The following is a 22,500-nucleotide window of genomic DNA, read 5'->3' as shown; positions in this document are numbered from 1 at the left end:
TACAAAAGCTTATTTCTTGATTATACCAAATCTTCAATGCATATCATACAGAGAATCAGTCTGATAGAGGCTCACTTCAACGTTTGTTTTCACAATTATTTTGGTAGGAAAACAGTATGATAGTGAATAATGAAATGACTCCTAAAAGATGTACATCATTTCCACTCACATAGAAAAGGAAGGCAATCTTAACACATACGCCAAAGGAGGAGAGCTAGAATATAATTGTGATTAGCCCCAATAATAACCGCAATCTAAGCTTCTAGTCCCCAATATTTGGATCACTCTTTCCTGCATTTAAAATACACTCAAAGGGGACAGCCTAAAAGTCCCATCTAGTCATAGCATCAAGTTGCAGAGAAAGACTTCTGTATGATGCATGATAGTCTTTCCATTAGGAGATGATACATGGTATTCCGCATTACATTCAAAACTGGCTTTTCCTGACTTGCAAAATTGTGAACTGCCAAGCCACCCAATTTATTTGGAGAATTCCTCAGGTGCAGAGTTCATTTAGTACTGGTCCCCCACTTCACAGAGTACTGTTAGCTGATCAGAATGTTAACTGTTCCCACCACTAAACATCATGGCATCTACCTTCGAATGAAAACAAACAAACAAAAAAATGAACTAAAGAGACATGTTTTTTTGGCCTGCACACTCCTGATAGAAAATAGAGAAATAGTAAGAAGACAACCTCAAAAATTAATCTTATTCCTAAAAAGGAGAGGCAGGAAATAAACAGATTAGGGTGTGTATAATTTTGAAATATACTGTGCAGACACTTTACAATCCAGCTACCCTGATGGAGGAGAATGTTCCATAAACAGATAAATTCTTCTCCCTCAACATAGCTCCTTTGTTTATTGTTCTCCACACACTTCGACTCATTCTTCTGTGAGGTTTGTCCCTTTCCATTGTACATTGGATCTTAGAGGCATTCACCTGGAAGTGTCACATGTAACTCCCATTCACATTGAGCTGTCTAAGGCATGTTTTGTAACCACATCAAAATTCAAGGAGCTAAGAGAAACCATGGACAAAAACTAAAGAAAAACAAGAGAAGGATTTCTCACAAAATATAAAATAACAATAAAGAGATGAAAATTATAAACAGAAGCCAAATGGAAACTCTGGAGTAGAAAATTACAAAAACTGAAATTTTAAAAAATCACTAGAAGAGGTGGTGTTTAAAGGCAGATTTGAGCACAAAAAAGAAAGTAGCAGTTAAATATAGGACAATAAAAATGATCCAGTATGAGGAGCTGAAATAAAAAATAAAAATGAATAGATTTAAGGAACCAATAAGACACAATCAAGCAGACAAATATGTGCATCATGGGAGTCTGACAGAGAAAAGAGAGGCAAAAAGAGTAGAAAGAATATTTGAAAAAATAATGTCTGAAAACACGAAATTAGATGAAAGACGTGAATCTATACATTCATGAAACTCAACAAATTCCAACATGATAAACCTAAAGAGATTCATAACAAAACACACTGTAATCAAACTGTACAAAGATAAAGACAAAGAGAAAATTTTGAAAGCAGCAAGATAGAAATGACTCATCATGTGCAAGGATTCCTTAACAAGACTAATAGCTGGTTTATCATTGGAAACCATGGATAACAGAAGCCAGTGGGATGGTATATTTAAACTGCTGAAATAAACTGTCAACCAAGAATTTTATATCTGACAAAGTTTTCTTTAAAATGAGTAAGAAATTAAGATATTTGTAGGTAAACAAAAGCTGAGGAAGTTTGTTACCAAGAGACCTGTACTACAAGATAATGATAAAGGCAGACCGAAATGAAAAGATAATAAACGGTAACTTGAAACCATCTGAAGAAATAAAGATCTCCAGTAAAGGTAACCACTTGGACAAATATAAAAGGCAGTGTTACTGTAATTTTGATTTGTAACTCTACTTTTAATTTTCAATATGATTTTTAATGCATAAAATAACTACAAATTTAAATTATTGGGCACACAATGAATAGAGATGTGATAAGTGACAGAATACCAAACTAAGGGAATACTAAAGGTTTTGTGTACTACCTCCAATCCCATTCGAGTGCAGAGTTTTGTATAGTATTGAAGTTAACTTCATATCAATTCAAACTTGATTGTCGTAAGTTTAATGTGTTATTTGTAATATCCATGGTAACTCCTAAGAAAAAAACTAAAAACATATGCAAAAAGAAATAAAAAGGGAATGAAAATGGTTAACAACAAAAAAAATCAAGTAAACACAAGAGAAGGCAGTAACAGAGGAAATGAAGAATAGAAACAACATAAGACATGTAGGAAACAAATAGCAAAATGGCAATTCTTACATGTAACTAATTCAAATATATATAGATTAAGTTATAATTAAAAGGCAGAGATTGGAAGAAAATTTTTAATGATCCAATTATATGCTATCTACAAAAGTCTCACTTTAGAGTCAGTGACACAAATAATTTGAGAGTGAAAGATAGAAAAAGACATTTGTTGGAAATAGCCAAAAGAGAGTTCGGGTGACTATTCTATCATAAAATTGACTTTAAGTTGAAAGTCATAACGAGGGACAAAGACAAGCATTATATATTGATAAAAAGGTCAACCCATTATGAAGATATAACAATTATAAACAAATATAACATTTATATGTAACTAAAAACAGTGATCCCACTGTGAATATATAAAAGTGGATTTTGATATATGAATATGAGAAACACTGACAGAATTGAAGAGAGAAATAGACAATTCCACAACAATAGTTGAAGACTTCAATAATCCACTTTAATAAATGATAAAACAACTAGACAAGTTTATTAAGAAAATATAGAATTTGAACACTAAAACCTAATAAGGCCCAAAAGAAATATGCATATATATATAAAACATATATATACATATATAACATATATATGCATGCATATATATAACATACATATATACATATATATGCATGCATATATATAACATACATATATACATATATATGCATGCATATATATAACATACATTTATAAACATATATATGCATGCATATATAACCATGCATATATATACACATATACATATATATGCATGCATATATATATGCATATATATGTATATATGCATATATATACATATATATGCATGCATATATATATATATAACATTTCATCCAACAACAGCAGAATACTCATTCGTGTCAAGTGCAAACGCAATATTCTTCAGAATATACCATATATGAGGTCAAGAAACAAGTCTCAATAAATTTTAAAAGATTAAAATCCTATAAAATATCTTTATGGATCACAGTCAAATGTAACCAGAAATAAGATCAGAAGGAAAACTACAAAATTTACAAATATATAAAGATGAACCAACACACTCTTAAGCAGCATATGTGTCAAATTTTGAAAATCATGAAGAAAATTGGAAAATACTTTGAGATATATAAAATCTTACAGAACTAGATAGCGGTGATGGTTGCATAACATGTGAATGTACTAAGTGTCACTAAACTGTATCCTTTAATATGGTTAAAATGGTGAATTACAAGTCATGTACTTTAATTCAAGAGAAGTTGTTACATATTGCACTCAATTTTTAGGGATCTTTGGTAGACCTCTTTGAATTCTGTAGACAATTTGTGTTACATTTGACTGTAAATTTTTTACCCAATTATTAATCCAATCTTAAGGACCCATCCTTAACAAGAAAACCAATAAAAACAGTAAAATCAGTTCCCTAAGTTCCTTCACAAAGATGTACACTTTCACCAGTCCTATTTAACATAGAACTGGAAGTTCTAACCAGAGCAATTAGGCAAGATAAACAACTAAAAGGAATAAAAACAGGAAAAGGGTAGTCAAATTGTTCCTCTTTGCTGATAATATAATCTTAAACCAAGAAAAACCTAAAGGCTCCACCAAAAAACTCTTAGATTTCATAAATAAATTCAGCAAAGATACAGAATACAAAATCAACATCCATAAATCTGTAGCATTTCTAAATGCCAATAATGATCTAGCTGAGAAAGAAAGCAATTCCATTTACAATCACTACAAAACAACATCTTAGAAAAATATTTAAGCAAGAAGGTGAAAGAGCTCTACAAGGAAAACTACAAAACACTGATGAAAGAAATCGAGGTGACACAGACAAATGGAAAATTATCCCATGCTCATGGATTGGAAGAATATTGTCAAAATGACCACATTGTCCAAAGCAATATTCAGATTCAATGCAATTCTTACCAAAATAACAATGTCATTCTTCACAGAATTAGAAAACAAATTCTAAAATTCATATGGAACCAAAAGGAACATGAATAGCCAAAGCAACTCTGAACAAAAAGAACAAAGCTGAAGACATCACATCACCTGATTTCAAAATATATTACAAGCCTATGGTAAACAAAACAGCATGGGATTGGTATAAAAATAGACAGACAGACAAAACAGAATAGAGAATCCACAGATAAAATCACATATTTACAGTTCATTGATCTTCCATAAATTTGAGAAAAACTTACATTGGGAAAAGGAAACCCTCTTCAATAAATAGTGCTGGGAAAATAGGATAGCCATATGCAGAATAATGAAACTGGACCCCTAACTCTCAACACACAAAAATCAAATCAAAATGAATTAAAGCCTTAAACATAAGACCAAAAACTATTTTTAAAAAATTAGAAGAAAAGCTAGGGAAAACTCTCCTGGACATCGGTTTAGGCAAAGAACTTATGATTAAGACCTCAAAATAATGGGCAAAAATAAATAAATAAATAAATAAATAAGACTTAATTAAACTAAAAAGTTTTTGCATAGTAAAAGAAATAATCAACAGACTGAAGAGATAATTTGTAGAATGAGAGAAAATATTTTCAAAGTATTCATCTGACTGGAGGCTAACATCCAGAACATACAGGAAATACAAATAACAGAAAAAAAAAGCAATACTATTAAAAAGTAGGCAAAGGACATGAACAGACATTTCTCCAAAGAAGACATACAAATTGAAAACTGCTTATTATTATTAATCATCAGACAAACACAAATCAAACCACAAAGAAATATCACCTTACCTTAGTAACAAAGTCTATTACTAAAAACACAAAAATAGATGTTGGCAAGGATGTGAAGAATAGGAAACTTACATACACTGTTGGTGGGAAAATAGACTAGTACAGCTACTGTGGAAAACAGAATAGAGGTTTCTCAAAAAACTAAAAATGGTGTCACAATTTGGTCCAGAATTTCCACTACTGGGTATCTACCCGAATGAAAAGACAACAATATATCAAAAGGATACCTGCAGTTGCATGTTTATTACACTATTCACAATAGCAAGCATATGGAATCAACCTAAATGTCCATTATTGGATGAATGGATGAAGAAAATATGGCATATATACACAATTGAATTATACTTGGCCACAAGAAGAATGAAATCATGTTATTTGTAGCAACTTGGATGGAACTGAAGGTCATTCACTTATGTGAAATAACACAGGCACAAAAAGATAAGTATTGTATGTTCTAACTCATATGTGGGTGCTAAAAGTTATACCACATGGAGGTAGAGAGTGGAAAGATAGATAACAGACTTACAAGGTTAAGGAGGGGAGAAAGGAGAAAGAGAACTGTGTTAAGGGGTATAAACATACAGTAAGATACATGGAATAAATTTAATGTTTAATAGCTTAGTAGGGTGACTATACTTAACAAGAATGTATCATACTCAGGAGATGGACACCTTAAATAACTCTGACTTGATCACTATGCTTTATATACATGTAACAGAATTTCTCATGTATCCCATCAATTTGTACAAATAATAATTTTTAAAAAACCCTCTGCAGCAGGTTCAATTTTCAGTGAAAGTTACCTTCACTCAGGTCTTTACGATCCTCTAAAAGCAATGGTTTCCAAACATTTTCCATCACTTCTTTGAAAATATCTATGCCTGACAAAGGATAAATGGTGGGCAGTCGTATACTAAGTAATCATGTAAACTAAAATGCCTATTATGAACTGGATGTTGTCTGAAATACCAACTCATAAATTTGGATGTGCACAACAGCACTCCATTATCAAGAGAGAGTGGCATTTATAAGACTTGATTCAAGCAGATCTTGAAGCACAGGCATGTTGCATAAGCAAGTATAGGTTCACAAGGCACTCGCTTCTGCTGCATCAACGTCTTGGCCACAACCATTACCTATGACCTCTCAACATGTCCTCTTGTCCTTGTGATCCTTTGCCGGTGCCAGCCAGAGGTAAACAGCTGCAGCATTACAGTTTTTCAGTGGTGGACTTGAAAGACAGTAGTGAAGGCAAACATTCCTTATGAGCAAAAATGATGATAGATAACTGCTTGTTCACTTTATCTGGAATGAATGAAGTCTAGAGATAGATCTACATCAATTATATCAATTATTGGGAAGTGGCTAACAAATGTTTCAAATATCAAAGGACATGGAAATAACAAGATTAGAGAACTGGTGACATAGAATCCTGGAGAATAGTGTGTGGATAGAATCTTGGAATGAGTGCAAAGTGTAAGAATATTTGTGTCCAGTGAGATGTTTACCTATGTGCATCCACTGTAATAAAGATTTTTATCCATCAGATGGAAAAATATATTCTGTGAATAACAACTTGCTTTTTTGCCCAGCTAGCCCAGCCACTTGCTCAATGGACTAATGTACAAAGTAGCCATGGAGGCATAGATGGAGATTATACATGGAAATAAAAATATTGATTTCCTCACAAAAAGGATATCTGGCTACAACCATTGTTGATCATCCAACCTACCAAATAACAGAGATTAACACTAAGCCACAATTTCACGGAGGGCATTAGTCAATGGCAGTTTTATTCTGTTGGACATCTTCCTTCAGGGAAATGTTGGTACTTTATCTTCACTAAACCAATACTTAGGTTGTGAATCTGACTCTCATGCTTGCAGTGCTTCTGCCAACACTACCATCAATGAACATGATTTTTGATATAGAAATTTATTTTTTTCTCAAAAGCAATGAGCCCATAAAATCCTGATGTGGAGCTTATTTACCCAATAGCTGGCCTTAGAAAATGTTGAATGGTCTACTGAATATTTAGTTATGGTTTAGTCTGGATGGCATGACTTTGAGGGTTTGATCCTTTAAGATGTGGTGTAGGCTTTAAATCAGCTCTTGATGTACATTGTTGTTCCTCTCATGATAAAGCTGCACTGCTCCAAGGATTTCTGTAACTATAATCGCAAATGACCCATTCATAAAGCATTTCTTCCTCTTATTAAACTTTGTCTTCTGTTGGTGGAGTACACACCCTTGAGAATACTTGCCCAAGGGGACATAATGGCCATTTTATTGAACTGAAGGCTGAAACAGTCACTTGGTCATTCTGGGGTTCTCATATCACTGAGACAACAGAAAAAAAATGTTACTATATTTACAAAGGTTTTAATGAGGTTATCCTGGAAAGTGGGATTGTGACCAGAAAATGGAAACAAAAAAAAAAGTAGGTTCAGAGACCTCACAGGTCTTATTTTGTCTTATTTTCTTCATCTTATTTTGAAAATTTTAAAATCTACACAAGAATACTATAACAAATATCTATATTCTTTCATCTGGATTTATCTTTGTATAGATAATAGACATATGATGATGGTGATAAAGATGATAAATAGATATATCTAGACCAATAGCTATAGATAAATAGATAATAAGTTTCTCTACTAAATCATCTGGAAGTTTCAGACATTGTTTCATATTTGCAACAATCTCTGCAATAACACCATGTTGCATGACATTGTTGCATGACACCATGTCATTGTTGCATGACACCAAATACATCAGCATGCATCTCTTAAGAACTAGAACATTTCCCTACATAAACATAATTCCGTTATCATTTTTAATATAACATTCACATACACAATTTCCTGAAGTTCCCAAAATAAAGCTGTAAAATGGTAAATAAGCATAAGCTAAGAGCTTGCTGTACTCTACATCTGGAGGCAAGCAGAAGAAACTAGGAGTACACTCCTATAGGGTCACAGAAATTCATCCTCAGATCCACAGACCAGGACTAGATTTTAAAATAAAAGTGTGATCTTTTCCGCCACGTAATGACATTATAGGTATTGCAGATATCAAGTCTCTGAGCCAACAGCAAATAAGTTTCAGACTCTGTTGGTGATCCTGCCTTATTTCCTCTCATGTCCCCAGGCTCACCATTTCCTGTAGCCCATAGAGCCAGAAAGCAACTGGAAGAATTTTTTTCAACTTTCTTTCACAGGTGGGAGGTGGGAACACTGCCAACCAAATCGTTGTATTTATGCAGTGAGCCTGGCTCACATCTACCATCTCACTTAGAACACTTACTTCATATGACCCTGCAGGAGTAACTTCCTGACTACCACAGGATGCTGGTTATACAGCACATGCATGAATTTTTCTTAGTCTCATAAATTACTATTTCATTTGTGGCCACAACATTGTTTGTTATGCTTGATCCTACCTAAGACATTTTAGTGTTCCTTTTCATACTTTATGTATCATTATTATGAGTCTGTCACAGAGAAAATAACATTGGAGCATAAACTATTCATATCTTGACTGGGAGTAATCACCAGGGCCACTGCATTTGGATATGTATGGTTGAGCAGTTTCTTTAAAGCACAAGAGCACTTAGATTTAGGTTAAGCAGGAGCAAATATCTAGTCTGATGCTTCACACCAAGTTGTGTGCATGGAAGAGGGGTTCTTTAGAAAAAGAGGCACTTGTTTCTAATTCACACAAAGGAATTAGCTTCTCACCAAAATATGTATCTGAAAATGTGTGCACAGTGAGAGGAAATATCTTTTCTCTAGTTTTCAAAGAGGCAGCTTATAGGCTTACAATACCTTTGGTCATTTTATTCACGTAAAAACCTTTCTGGAGTATTCTGGAAAGACAGTACAGAGTTCTTCAATCTCCACATAAAAATTAATAGACAACCCAGATGGCACAGTTCAAAGCTGTAATGATCAAGGGTACAATTCAATAAGAAGATATAATGTATTGTGTACTCATCTAAAAAGAGAGCTTTAAATTACACAGGAAAAATAATTATAGGAGTGAAATCATATTTATAGTTGAAGACAATGTCAACACTCCTCTCTTAGTAGTTGATAGAAAAAGTAGACAAAAAATGAGTTACTTGACATTAGGTTACTCCATCCAACAGAAAAATATACGTCGTTTTCAAGTACATATAAAATAGTCACCAAGATAGACAATAATTTCGGCCAAAAAAAGGAAAATGCAATTAATTTTAAAGTTTGTTCTCTCATGAGAATAGAATTAATTTATAAGTGAGAGACAGGAAATCGCCAAATATTTTGGAATAAAAAAAAGTCTAAATAACTAATGTGTCAAAGAAGCAGTCTCCCATGTTTAAAATTGACTTAAAATGAAAATACAACTAAACAAAATTTGTGGAATGAAGCTACAGAGTTGCTCAGAGGAAAGTTTATAGCATAAACATTTATATTAGAAAGATGTCTCAAATAATTATCTAAAATTGCTCCACAAAAAAGTAGGTAAGTTACACTTAAGAAAACCAAAAACAAAAATAATAAAGATAAAAGTAGAAATCAGTAAAATTTAAAATAAAAAATAAAATAGGAAAAATGTCAATGAAACTAAAAGCTGGTCTGTTGAAAGCATCAGTAAAGTCAATGATCTTTATACCAGACCGACTGACCAAGAAAAATAGAGAATGGACATAGTAATGTCAGAAATAAAAGAGGGGATATCCTCATTCACTACACATTCTACAGGTAATAGGAGATGAATAAGGGAATATTATAGATAATGCTATGACCATAAATACAATAACTTAAATTGAAAGGTCTTTGAGAGATGCTAACTACCAAGAAGAAATTGAAAGTTTCAGTAATCTTATATCTATTAAATAAATTAAATTTATGGTTAAAATCTATCAATAGCAACAGCAACAAATTCCCAAAACAGATGCTTTACTGGGCAATTTTATCAAATATTTAATGGGTAATATAAGTTTTACTCAAAGTTTCACAAAATTGAAGAAAAAGAACATTTTCCAACTCTTTATGAAGTCATAATTACTCTGATATCAAAACCAAATATACCAACAGATAGAAAACTATAGACCAATACTTCTCAAAATCATAGATGCAAAAATCCTCAAGAAAGTAGTAGTAAATTGAATTTAGCAATATATAAAAATGGTATTACATCATGACCAAGTTGAGTTTGTTCTGAAATATGCAAGGCTGGTTCTCATATGTAAGTGAGAAGATGTGGTATTTAGTTTTCTGTTCCTGCATTATTTCACTTAGGATAACGACCTACAGCTTCATCCATGTTTCTGTAAAGGATATAATTTCATTCTTTTTTATGGCTTCATAGTATTCCATGGTATATATGTAACAGAGTTTCTTTATCCAGTCCACCACTGATAGACATCTAGGTTGATTCCATGTATTTGCTGTTGTGAATAGTGCTGTGATGAACATATGAGTGCATGTGTCTTCATGGTAGAATGCTTGATATTCCTCTGGGTATATACCCAGTAATGGGATTTCTGGGTCAAATGGTAGTTGTATTTTAAGTTATTTGAAAAATCTTCAGACTGCTTTCCACAGTGGCTGAACTAATTTACATTCCCACCAACATATAAGCATTCCCTTTTCTCTACAACCTAGCCAGCATCTGTTATTTTTTTTGACTTTTTAATAATAGCCATTCTGATTGGTGTGAGATGTATCTCATTGTGGTACTGATTTGCATTTCTCTAATGATTAATGATATTAAACTTTTTTTCCCATATGCTTGTTGGCCATGTGTATGTCTTTTGAGAAGTCTCTGTTTATGTCTTTGCCTATTTTTTTAATAGGGTTGTCTTTATCTTGTTGATTTAAGTTCCTTATACATTCTGGATATTAGACTTTTGCCAGATGCATAGTATGCAAATATTTTCTCCCATTTTGTAGGTTGTCTGCTTACTCTGTTGGTACTTTCCTGTGCTGAAACTCTTCAGTTAAATTAGGTCCCACTTGTCAGTTTTTATTTTTATTGCAATTGTTTTTGGAGTCTTTGCCATGAATTTTCCAAGGCTGATGTCCAGAATGATATTTCCTAGGTTTTCTTCCAGGGGATTTATATTTTTAGGTTTTACATTTAAGTCTTTAATATGCCTTGAGTTGATTATTTTATATGGTGAAAAAGGGGTCCAGTTTCATTCATCTTTGTATGGCTAGCCAGTTATCCAAGCACCATTTATTGAATAGTGTTTGTTATTGCTGGCTTTGTCAATGATTAGATAATTGTAGGTTTATGGCTTTATTTCTGGGTTTTCTACCTATTCCATTGGTCTATGTGTCCATTTTTGTACCAGTACCATGCTGTTTTAGTTACTGCAGACTTGTTGTATGGTTTGAAGTCGGGTAGTGTGATACTATTAACTTTGTTCTTTTTACTTAAGATTGCTTTGGCTATTCAGGTTCTTTTTTTGGTTCCAAAAGAATTTTAGAATACTGTTTTCTAATTCTGTGAAGAATGTCACTGGTAGTTTGATGGGAAAAGCATTCAATCTGAAAATTGCTTTGAGGAGTATGGCCATTTTAACAATATTGATTCTTCCTATTCATGAGAATGGAATGGTTTTTTTCATTGGTTTGTGATATCTCTGATTTCTTTCAGCAATGGTTTATAATTCTCATTCTAGAGATCTTTTACTTCCAGAGTTAGCTGTATTCCTAAGTATTTTTCTTTCTGTGGCTATTGTGAATAGGACTGAGTTCTTGATTTCACTACTCCTATTTTACATTGTACTGGAGACCATAGGTAATGCAATAGTGCAAGAAAATAAAACCCAATCACCAAGATTCAAGAGAAAAAATTCTATTTTTGCACATGTGATAGTTTACATTAAAAAATCTCAAAGAATTTACAAAAAGTTCAGAGAATTAATCAGTGAATTTGGCAACATTGCTGCATTAAAGTTTAATATATAATAATTAATTGTGTTAAAATCTACTACCAGTAAATAATTGGAAATTGAATTTTAAAATGGTACCATTTACAATTACAACAAATACTATGAAATATTTTTATATAAACCTAACAAAACAGGTGCAAGTTATATATGCTAAAAACTATAAAACATTGATGAAAGAAATCAAGAAGACCTAGATAAATGAAGTGACATGCTATGTTCATGGGAAATAAAACTCAAAAGTGTTAATTCTCACTAAATTGATTTCAAGGATTCAAAAATATTCTAATAAAATCACTGGATTTTAAGGCAAACAGTAAAAATTATTTGATCAACTATTGGAAAAGATAAAGTATAAAAGGAAAAAAATAAGATGGTCATTAGAAAAGCTTTAAAGCAGAAAAACACAGAGTAAGCTATCAGTATAGCAAAGCAAAGAAAAAGCAAGTGAAGAACTTATATGCTGAAAAGCTAAGTATCAAGAACAAGAGTACAGAAAATCTGTTATAACATGCAAGATTTCAGGAACTATTGCAAACATGAGATTTTTCTGAGGTATCTACTAGAAAATGAACTTTAGATAATGAATAAAAGAGTGTTTTGATGTAAAGACTGGTGGATAATATTAAATATGTAGTTATTTGTAGAACTATTAATATCATTTTAAACATCTCCCTGGCCAATTTTGGAGGATAAAGAACAAATTCACTACCTAGAAAACCATGAAAAAGAAAATAGAGCATTCATTTTGCTTTTCTTATATGAAATGTATCAATGAATAATATATAAAGAGAGAGAAGCAGTTTTACATATTTTAATCAAATAAAAATGATATCATCTTTTCAACCTATGATAAATCAACAAATCTTGGCATTGAGCCTCAATGACTTTGAACACATAAAACAAAAATGTGAAAACCAGAAATTATGTACAAATACACCATCAACTATAAACCTGCCAAAGCATTCAAATCTGAGTCTGATCAAGCCTCTGGGTTCACATGCCAATTTGCAGAGAAGAGAAGAACGTTTTGAACTATACTCTAAGTAAACGTTTAAAATCAACAGAACCAGAATATAGGAAACATTGTAGGTCAAACAGCCCAGGTTCTTGAACAAATAATTTATAAGAAAAGAAATAAATGAATGGGGAATCTGTAGATTAAGAAACATAACAAATTAAAATTAGCAAGAGTAAACTATGAAGTCTAAGAATGAATAGTTATGTGACTACATATAAAGAAAAACAAAAAGGTGATCACTGTAATTGTTAGTTTGGGAGAGAATGAGGGTTTTGTGACTGAGGTGGGGTAAGCGAAAGAGTTTTTGGTCGGTTGGTATCATTTCTGATTTTGTAACCTAGGTGGTAATTACAATTGTGCCCAACATAATATAATTCATTAAGCTATATATTTGTTTTGTATGGCTTTCTGTATTTGTGTTTGATTTTATAATAAAGATGTTAAAACTAAGGAATAAAAACAAAATAAGTAAAACAGTTCCTAACAACATTTATGGACAGGCCTTGTTTATAAGCACTGATATATGATATTAATTAAAATAGTCACAGGCTTTGAGGAGTGGATAAATGAAATAGGAACAATGATGTATCATTTAAATATGATCTGCTACATGCAAATATTTCCAGCTAATAAAGTACAAGGCTCTAGTATAGAACTTTAATATTTCCTGGGTAAGAAAGCATCTAAACTGGCAAGTAACAACCCAAAAGAGTGTAAAGGGATGTTCCAAGTAGAAGCAAAAGCAAAACCAGAAATTTTTAAAAATAAACAAATAACAGTGCAAGCAGTGACATAGGAACTCACAACTGAAGTATAAAGTAGAAAGTGAAGAAACAAAACAGTACTTACTTTGAAATTAAAATGCCAATATTTAAATGTGAAGTTTAAAATGAATTTATATGTGGGGAGCATGAGGCGGAGCAAAATGGCCCAACAGAACCCTCCACTGATTGTCCTCCCTACAGAAACACCACATTTAACAACCATCTACACAAAACAGGCACCTTCATGAGAAACAAAAATCAGTTTAAGTACCGAGTTGGCCACAGTGGGGTACAGCACCAAGCAGGCACTTGTTGTCCTCGATTCTGGGTATTGGCTCTTGGAGGGCATTTCTGGACCTGCCCTGGGCCAGAAGGGTGAGTCCCACACCTAGTAACTTTCATGCCCTTGGGCCTTGAGTGAACATCAGTGTTAGCCTGGCAGTATTCCCTATGGGCCTGTGGTGGGTGGCCCCTGGGAAAAGACTCCTCTGCTTGTGGAAATGAGAGGGAAGAGTGGGAAGGACTTTGTCTTGTGGCTTGGATTCCAAGTCAGCCACAATAGAATACAGCGTGAGTTAGGTTCCTAAGGTTTCTGACTCCAGGCCCTGGTTTCCAGATGGCATATCTGGACCTACCCAGGGCAGGGGAAAACTTGTCCCTGAAGGGAAAGACACAAGACTGGCTGGCTTTGTCACCTGCTTATTGTAGAATCCTAGGACCTTGAGTGAACATAGACAGTAGCCAGGTAGTAGTTACAACAGGCCTTGGGTGAGACCCAGTGCTGTGCTGGGTTCAGGTCTGTCCCAGCACAGTCCCAGTGGCAGTTGCCACAGCGGCAGTTGCCACAGCGGCAGTTGCCACAGTGGCAATTTATATCCCTCCCCCAGCTCCAGGAAGCTCAGCACAGAAGGAGAGACTCTATTTGTTTAGGAGAAAGTAAGAAGAGAGATCAAATCTCTGGTAATTCAGAGTTCTTCTGGACTTTTTGAGTATTACCCCACAAGTACAGACAATCAAAGCAAAAATGAACAAGTGGGTTTACATTAAGTTAGAAAGCTTCTGCACAGCAAACAATCAGCGAAGTGAAGTGACAACCCACAGAATAAGAGAAAATATTTGCAAACTCCCCATCTGACAAAAGATTAATAACCAGAATATGTAACAAGTTCAAACAACTCAACAGGAAAAAAATCTAATAATCTAATTTAAAAATGGGCAAACGATCTGAATAGACATTTCTCAAAAGAAGACATTCTAATGGAAAACAGGTATATAAAAATGTGCTCAACATCACTGATCATCTGAGAAATGCAAATCAAAACTACAATGAGATATGATTTCACCCTAGTTCCAATGGCTTTTTCCCAAAAGACAGGCAATAATGAATGCTGCCAAGGACGTGAAGAAAAGGGAACCTTCAGATACTGTTGGGAGGAATCTAAATTAATAAAATCACTATGAGGAACAGTTTGGAGTTTCCAAAAACTCAAAAATAGAGGTACCTATTATCCAGCAACATCACTGCCAGGCTACCCAAAAGAAAGGAAATCTGTATATTTGAAGAGATATCTACACCCTTATGTTTATTGCAGCACTATTCACAATAACCAAGATTTGGAAGCAACCTAAGTGTCTATCAACAGACTAATGAATACAGAAAATGTGGTACATATACATAATGGAGTACTACTCAACCATAAAAAGAATGGGTCCTGTCATTTGCAAGAACATGGATGGAACGGGAGGTCATTATGTTAAGTGAAGTAAGCCAGGCACAGAAAGACAAACTTTGCATGTTCTCACTTATATTTATGGGGTCTAAAAGTTAAAACAATTAAACTCATGGAGATACAGAGCAGAACGACGGTTATCAGAGGATGGGAAAGGTAGTGAAGGGGAGAGGGAAAGTAAGGATGGTTAATGGGTACAAAAAATAATTAGAAAGAATGAATAAGATCTAGTATTTGATAACACAACAGGGTGATAACAGTCAATAATTTAACTGTATATTTTTAAATAACTAACAGAATATCATCAGATTGTTTGTAACACAAAAGACAAATGCTTGAAGTGATAGATACCCCTTTTATCCTGATGCGATTATTATGCATTGTATGCCTGTATCAAAATATCTCATGCACCCCAAAAATATATACACTCACTGTGTATCCACAAAAATTAAAAATAATTTTTTTTAGAAAAATGAATTTATACATATATGTCATACTTCTTGACAGATTAATATAAAATTACATTCCATAAGTATATACACCTACTGTGTACCCACAAAATTAAAAATAATTTTTTTAGAAATATGAATTTATACATGTACTTCATACTTCCTAACAGATTAATACAAAATTACATCCTATAATGACTCACAATACAATTGGACCTGGCCACAGAATCTTCAACAAAGTAACAGCAATCAAATCAGTTCTTTCAACTGTAATAATGATCACAGGATGTACATTTCAGAATAATCCAGATGCAGTCCAATTATATTGATGATTTTACACACACCATTAGATTAAGTAGCTGGCAAGATAATCTGTTCTTTCAAATTTGTATGCAAGTAAGCAAATAAATATGGCATACAATATAAGCCTGTGTTTCATTTTGATTAGTTATTATGATTTTTTTTATTGGTACAACATTCCAGAATCTGGCCTGTAAGTCTTCACTCATTGAAATAAAAAAGACACCTGCATCTATAAAACAAGTTCCAGCTAGTATAGGTAAACCCATTATCTGACAAAAATTTAAGTGATATTGGTTACCTTATACTGAAATCTGAAATACTTACCAAGCTGTACATATTTCATTATTAATACAGAAAAGGATTTTCTGTGATTACCCCATTCCCTAATAGACATTGCATGAAGAATATCAGAGAATATAGTACATTACTATGAAAACATAAATAAGGTAAGATGACATTTTCAATATGAGGAGTGATTATTAGAAAAATATATTTTCAAAGGCTTATATTGATTGACAAGAACTAAATCAAGATCTTATCTATCAATATATGAATAACAAAGAGATATACAATGGAAACAAGCTATATCGCGAGTATCTGGAGCCAGTGTATTTTTAATAATGGAAGTTAGATAATTACTAACAAACTCTGATCCACTGTCCAAGGAATCTATTAAGAAATATGTGTTTATTGGCATTTTTTTATTCATAACATCATGCAATCAATCATTTTAAAATACTCATAGAATGAGTCATAAAAAACCATTTAAATATTGCATTATGCTCTTTTTGGAAGTTAGCAGTAGGCAAAATTATCAGCCCATAAAAACCCAAACATTGCTGAAGACTTACTCTTAAATATGCACAAGAATAATTTATAGAAATGGGATAAAATATGATTAATAGGGAGAATAAATCCATCCTGTCTTTGGAAAGAAAGATTAGGCCACAGGCATAAATTAATTGTGATATTCAAAATAACCATTGTAAAAGAATCACTGTTTTAGTAAGATAATATTTTCTTTTTAATGGGTAAAGAAAATAGTCATTTTTATTTTACCAGCAAAAAAGCACTTATTTCACTTTTGGTATATCATAAAAGGGATACAAGGTATAAGCTACATATCTCTTATTCTCAATATCATTTATTAATTTATAAAGGTCTTTTTTCTCCTTTGAACATTTATTAAACAGAGCTGTTGTGTTCAGAATTGATTTTGCTGTCTCAGCCACATTAAGGCTGAGATGCTTTTTGGCTTTCATCTGAATGAACAATTTCCTAGTTAGACACACTGGATTTGGAGTTGGATCAATAAAAGCTTTACTGTGTCCTTTCTCTTTCCTCTTAGAGCTCACAAAAGAGAACCAAATTCCATTCATCTTTTCACCTGCCACAGTGGAATCTTTAGCAATGCAATTCTGGCTTGAATGAAGAAACATAGCGACAAACTGGCAAAGAAACAAATAGTAATATCTATTTCCCATGCTTATACTCCTGAAGATCAGTTACTTCTGGGTATGCATGTAAATTTGTCTAACTCTAACTATTTGTCTTTGCTGTGCTTTGGGAGTATAAATCCTTATCAAGGGTTTAGTGTAATCCTGCTGAATCTTAAGTGGCTAACTCAAGTTATTTGCAAGGAAGCCAATTTGATTAGATCCTGGTGATTTAAATTTAAAGGATTTTGAATGGATTAAGTCAAGGAGTTCTTTTTACAACTTTGAATTCTGTCATTTAAAGTGACCAAGCATTAAAAGTCAAAATTTTGTAATATTCATGAGAATTTATGTACATTATTTTTTAATTATCTCCCCCAGTTTATAGATGTTAATGTTTAAGAAAAATGATTTCATTTTATGTGACATACTTGAACTGAAAATAACCAGTCTAAAACTATCAGCAGTGATTGAAAAACATGTTACAAACCAGACATAAAACTGCAAAACACAAAAGCATAGAAGTTCTCAAGCAGAAGGCATGGTTGTCGTGTTAAGTCTAGTGGTGATTCCATTGCTGGTGGCTGATATTCCAGCTATTTCACTCTACTCTTCTACTGTACTCCAGGAATCAGAGTAGCTCCTTTCTGAAATGAGCAATAGTTTTTGGCTTACAGACTTACTGAATCTTATGAGACGCTGACTGTACACAAGACAAAATAAAATAATGATTTATTTCCTTTGTTCCAAGTCTCTTTTAAATTTTGTTTTAATAACATAAGTTATGAAAAATCTATAAAATATTCAAAAGGGAGAAAAGTACCAGCTGGAAGGACAGACAAATACAAAAACTAAACTAAAAAAAATCAGTTAATCAGCAGGAAAAAGGTAGCAGGGGACATTCAATGATCAGTATGTAGAAGACATGCTCAGAAATTAATAGAAGTAACAAAAAGACAAACTTTATTTACTAAATAAATATTTCTTGTGGGACTATTTTACATCAAACACTATTCTAGATTCTAGAACATAATATATAACAATCAATGAAAAAAAGCAGTCTTATGTCCCTGCCTACATGGCCCTTACATTCCAGTGATGAAGGACCACCAACAAACAAGAATAACTGAACTATTTAGTATGCCAGACATTTATGTGTATCATTAAAAAATGAAGAGAAATACGGGCAGAATAGGCTAGTGCAGACTGGTACTGAACTTCATGTCTTAGTGTTTCTTGAGAAAAACATTTGACAGATATTTATTCCTAAATATTTGTTAAGGGTTTTAAAAATAGGCTGAATGCAGTGGCTCATGTCTGTAATTCCAACACTTTGGGAGACGGAGGCAGGAGGATAGCGTGAGGCCAGTAATTGGAGACCAGCCTGCTTGGCTAGCATAGCAAGACCCTATCACTACGAAAAAAAAAGAAAAAGTGTTGAAAAATAAAAAGAAGTTGAAAAAAGTATGACTGAGTATAAAGCTCACTCTATCATAGAGCAGTATGATATCCATGAAAGGAGGTTGAAAAATACAAATATGTAAATATAAAACTCTTGGCTAAGAGGTAAAATTTATTATCCACCTCTAACATGCTATAGGACTGTGGAATTGCTAATATGAATCAAATTCAAAAAAATCATAAAAGTTAAGCTGAGAAATATAGATTAATGAGTATCATTTTCTTACTTGACAAATATATGAAAGTTATATCAATAGATGGGCCAATGAAACAGACATAATAAGTGTGAACAAGGTAAAGTGTTTCTATGAGAAAAAAATCATTCTGACTGATGCCGATTCTTTCAGAACTAACTGAATATATAAATGGGAAGAAATCACTGAAGATGACTAGCTTAGGCTTTCAAAAGGCCTATAATATGAGTTTACATGAAAGATTATTTTAAAATGAGAAAATGTAAAAGGAAAATGTTTTTATAGATTTGAGATTGACCTTGAAGGATACTGAGGTCAGAGAAGATGTAGATTTTTCTTACGATGTAAATATCTAAATAGTGAGAGTTCTTAGAGTTTATACAACAAATAAAGCATGTGCAACACAATATTCCATGTTTTTGGAATCACATTAGCTATTCCAGGTAGTGAAATGTCAGGCTGATGAATATAAAATCATCAATTCACATTCAGTAACAGTTATTGAGCACCTCTCATGTGTGCTGGGCAATGTACCAAGGATTAAATTATAGAGATATTTTAAAAATATGGTCCCTGTATTGAGTAAGTCTCCATGCAGCTCTTACATCCCCAATTTCCTATCTGGATCATAAAAATCATGGAAATAGGTTTCCAGCAGCTGGCACTGTTACCTTCCCAGCTGTTCTTTCTCTTCTCAGCACTTCAGGATGTGGTATTGGGCAACACACCAGTCTAGGAAATAGCTTTTACTTCCTGTGATATTAGCTCTCCTGATTCTAAGACAAGAACAAATGTTCAGCCAGAAAAAATAAAAATTAAGGCATGGGAGTATATTTCCTCATATGCTTCCATTTGCACTGACCTCCATAGACAGATTTCGCATGCTCCAGAAAGAATCATTGGCTCCAAGCTATTAAGGGAATAAGCTGATGAGTCAGGAACTGAGAATTTGACCAAGGACTCCTTCATTGAAGGACATATTCCAGCAAACATTATAGTTCCCAATGTGTCTGGCGTCACTGCATTTTTCTTTGCCTTGCCCTTTAGATTAGTGCGGACAACTCTGGCTTAGTATGCTCCAAATCAGCACAAAACAGATATGGGTGTTAATGGTGAGAGATATGTCTATATTCTATTCTGTTTATTTACCTTCCCTTTATGCCAAGGGTAGGTTTTTATCCAATTTATCATCCATTGTAGTGACATTTTGATAGTAGAAGAGATGCTCATGACAATTACTTGGGGGCCATCAAATGTAGAGGAGGACTTGAGAAAAAGAATTATCCAAATGAATGACATTTTTTAACAACCACTTTTTTGTGTTCTCGAAAGAGTCATCATAGGATGTGAGATCTGGAAATATTCTGAGTACGTTTTTAAAAAGGTGAATTTGATAAGATTCAAGGACTTTACTGGATTTAGTAGGTTCTTATGTTGCCCAATGAAAAACATGTCACTTTCTCTTCTATTTCATGTTATTGCTTGAAGTAATTTTCATGTGTGCTATCTGCTATTTTTCTTTCTTCTCACTGCCATGACCTTGGATACCTCATTTTAGCTTTTATTACCACACTTTAAGTGTCCACAAACCTGAAGGCTCCATTTTAAATTTTATTTCATCATTTTAAGCAGGATATATCATTTAGGAAGAGTTATTTCAAGAGCTCTGCTACTTGTAGCTCACTAGACTTTATCTGCTTTTGAATTCTCTCTCTCTCTCACACACACACACACACACACACACACACATACATACATGCACACACCTGTAGTAGAAGCAATTACCATACAATATGCTCTACGTTTTTCTGTGACATTTAGGGTTAGGGAAAAACTATCAATATAATTTAATCATCTAATCATCACCATGCCCAATTTGTCAGGTACTATTAGTCATTATTTGTGTACCTTGGAAGCAATGAAGTGTTACTGAAAAATATTTACTAAACTGAAATTTAAAACTCATTCAGTCAAAAATACAAAATGAATACTACTGTATACAAAACATACTGAATATATAAGTAGTACCAAAGATACAATGACACAATCCCTGCAAAAAAGAACTCACAATTCATGTCTGAATAAAAAAATCAAGCCTAAAAATTACTTAAGAATACACATCAATATAGAAGTAAATATATAAACTCCAAATTATGGCTTTAGTGTTATGGGGTTTTAAATGGAATGTCTCAAATTTTCTGTTTGTTGTTCCTTGGTGTTAAGAGATTTAAGAAAAAAGGAGAACAAACATCCTGTCAGTTTACTAACAAGAAGTACTTTGATCACAAAATAGATAATACCTCCAAATTGGCCATTAAGTAGCTTAAGGTAAGGGAAACTTGTCACTTAGAAAGTTAAAGCTGCTGGGCCAACAGGAAGTAAGACACTTGTCCTTCTGCGAGGCCTTAGAGGTAAGAACTCCATAGGCAGTAAAGTTCCTACTTTAATACAACCTCTTGCGGGAAAAGAATCATAGAAATCCAGGCCTCTCGTCTGACATTAGTACAATGGGATAAGACAATGATAACGTACCTTCTGCTTTCTCCCAAGACACACTAAGAATCACTGTAAGATCTAGGCTGATCTCCTTTGGGTGAGGAGGAATATAATTATAATGGAAGTCTAGTTGAAATCAAACTATCTTCCAAGATATATCATTAATGTTACTTCATCACCAGTCACATTTACTGTATTAGTCTGTTCTCATGCTGCTATAAAGAACTGCCCAAGACTGGATATTTGTAAAGGAAAGAGGTTTAATTGACTCACAGTTCCACATTGTTGGAGAGGCCTCAGGAAACTTAAATTCATGGCAGAAGGTGAAGGGGAAGCGAGGCACCTTCTTCACAAGGCAGCAGGAGGGAGAAGTGAAGAGTGAAGGGGGCAAAAGCCCCTTGTAAAACCATTAGATCTCATGAGAACTCACTATCACAAGAGCAGCATGTGGAATCACCCCATGATCTAATCACCTCCCACAGAGTCCCTCCTCCAACACGTGGGGATTACAATTCAAGATGAGATTTAGGTGGGGACACAGAGTCAGACCATATCATCTATCGTATGAGATTATCTTGCCCTGAGAACAGAAGAGAGAGCATGGGCAGATGAGAAATTAGGGTCACTGATTCTAATG

The sequence above is a fragment of the Homo sapiens genome, chromosome 13, assembly GCF_000001405.40.
Source record: "Homo sapiens chromosome 13, GRCh38.p14 Primary Assembly".
Lineage (NCBI taxonomy): Eukaryota > Metazoa > Chordata > Mammalia > Primates > Hominidae > Homo > Homo sapiens.
Note: the sequence above shows the minus strand (reverse complement) of the source record.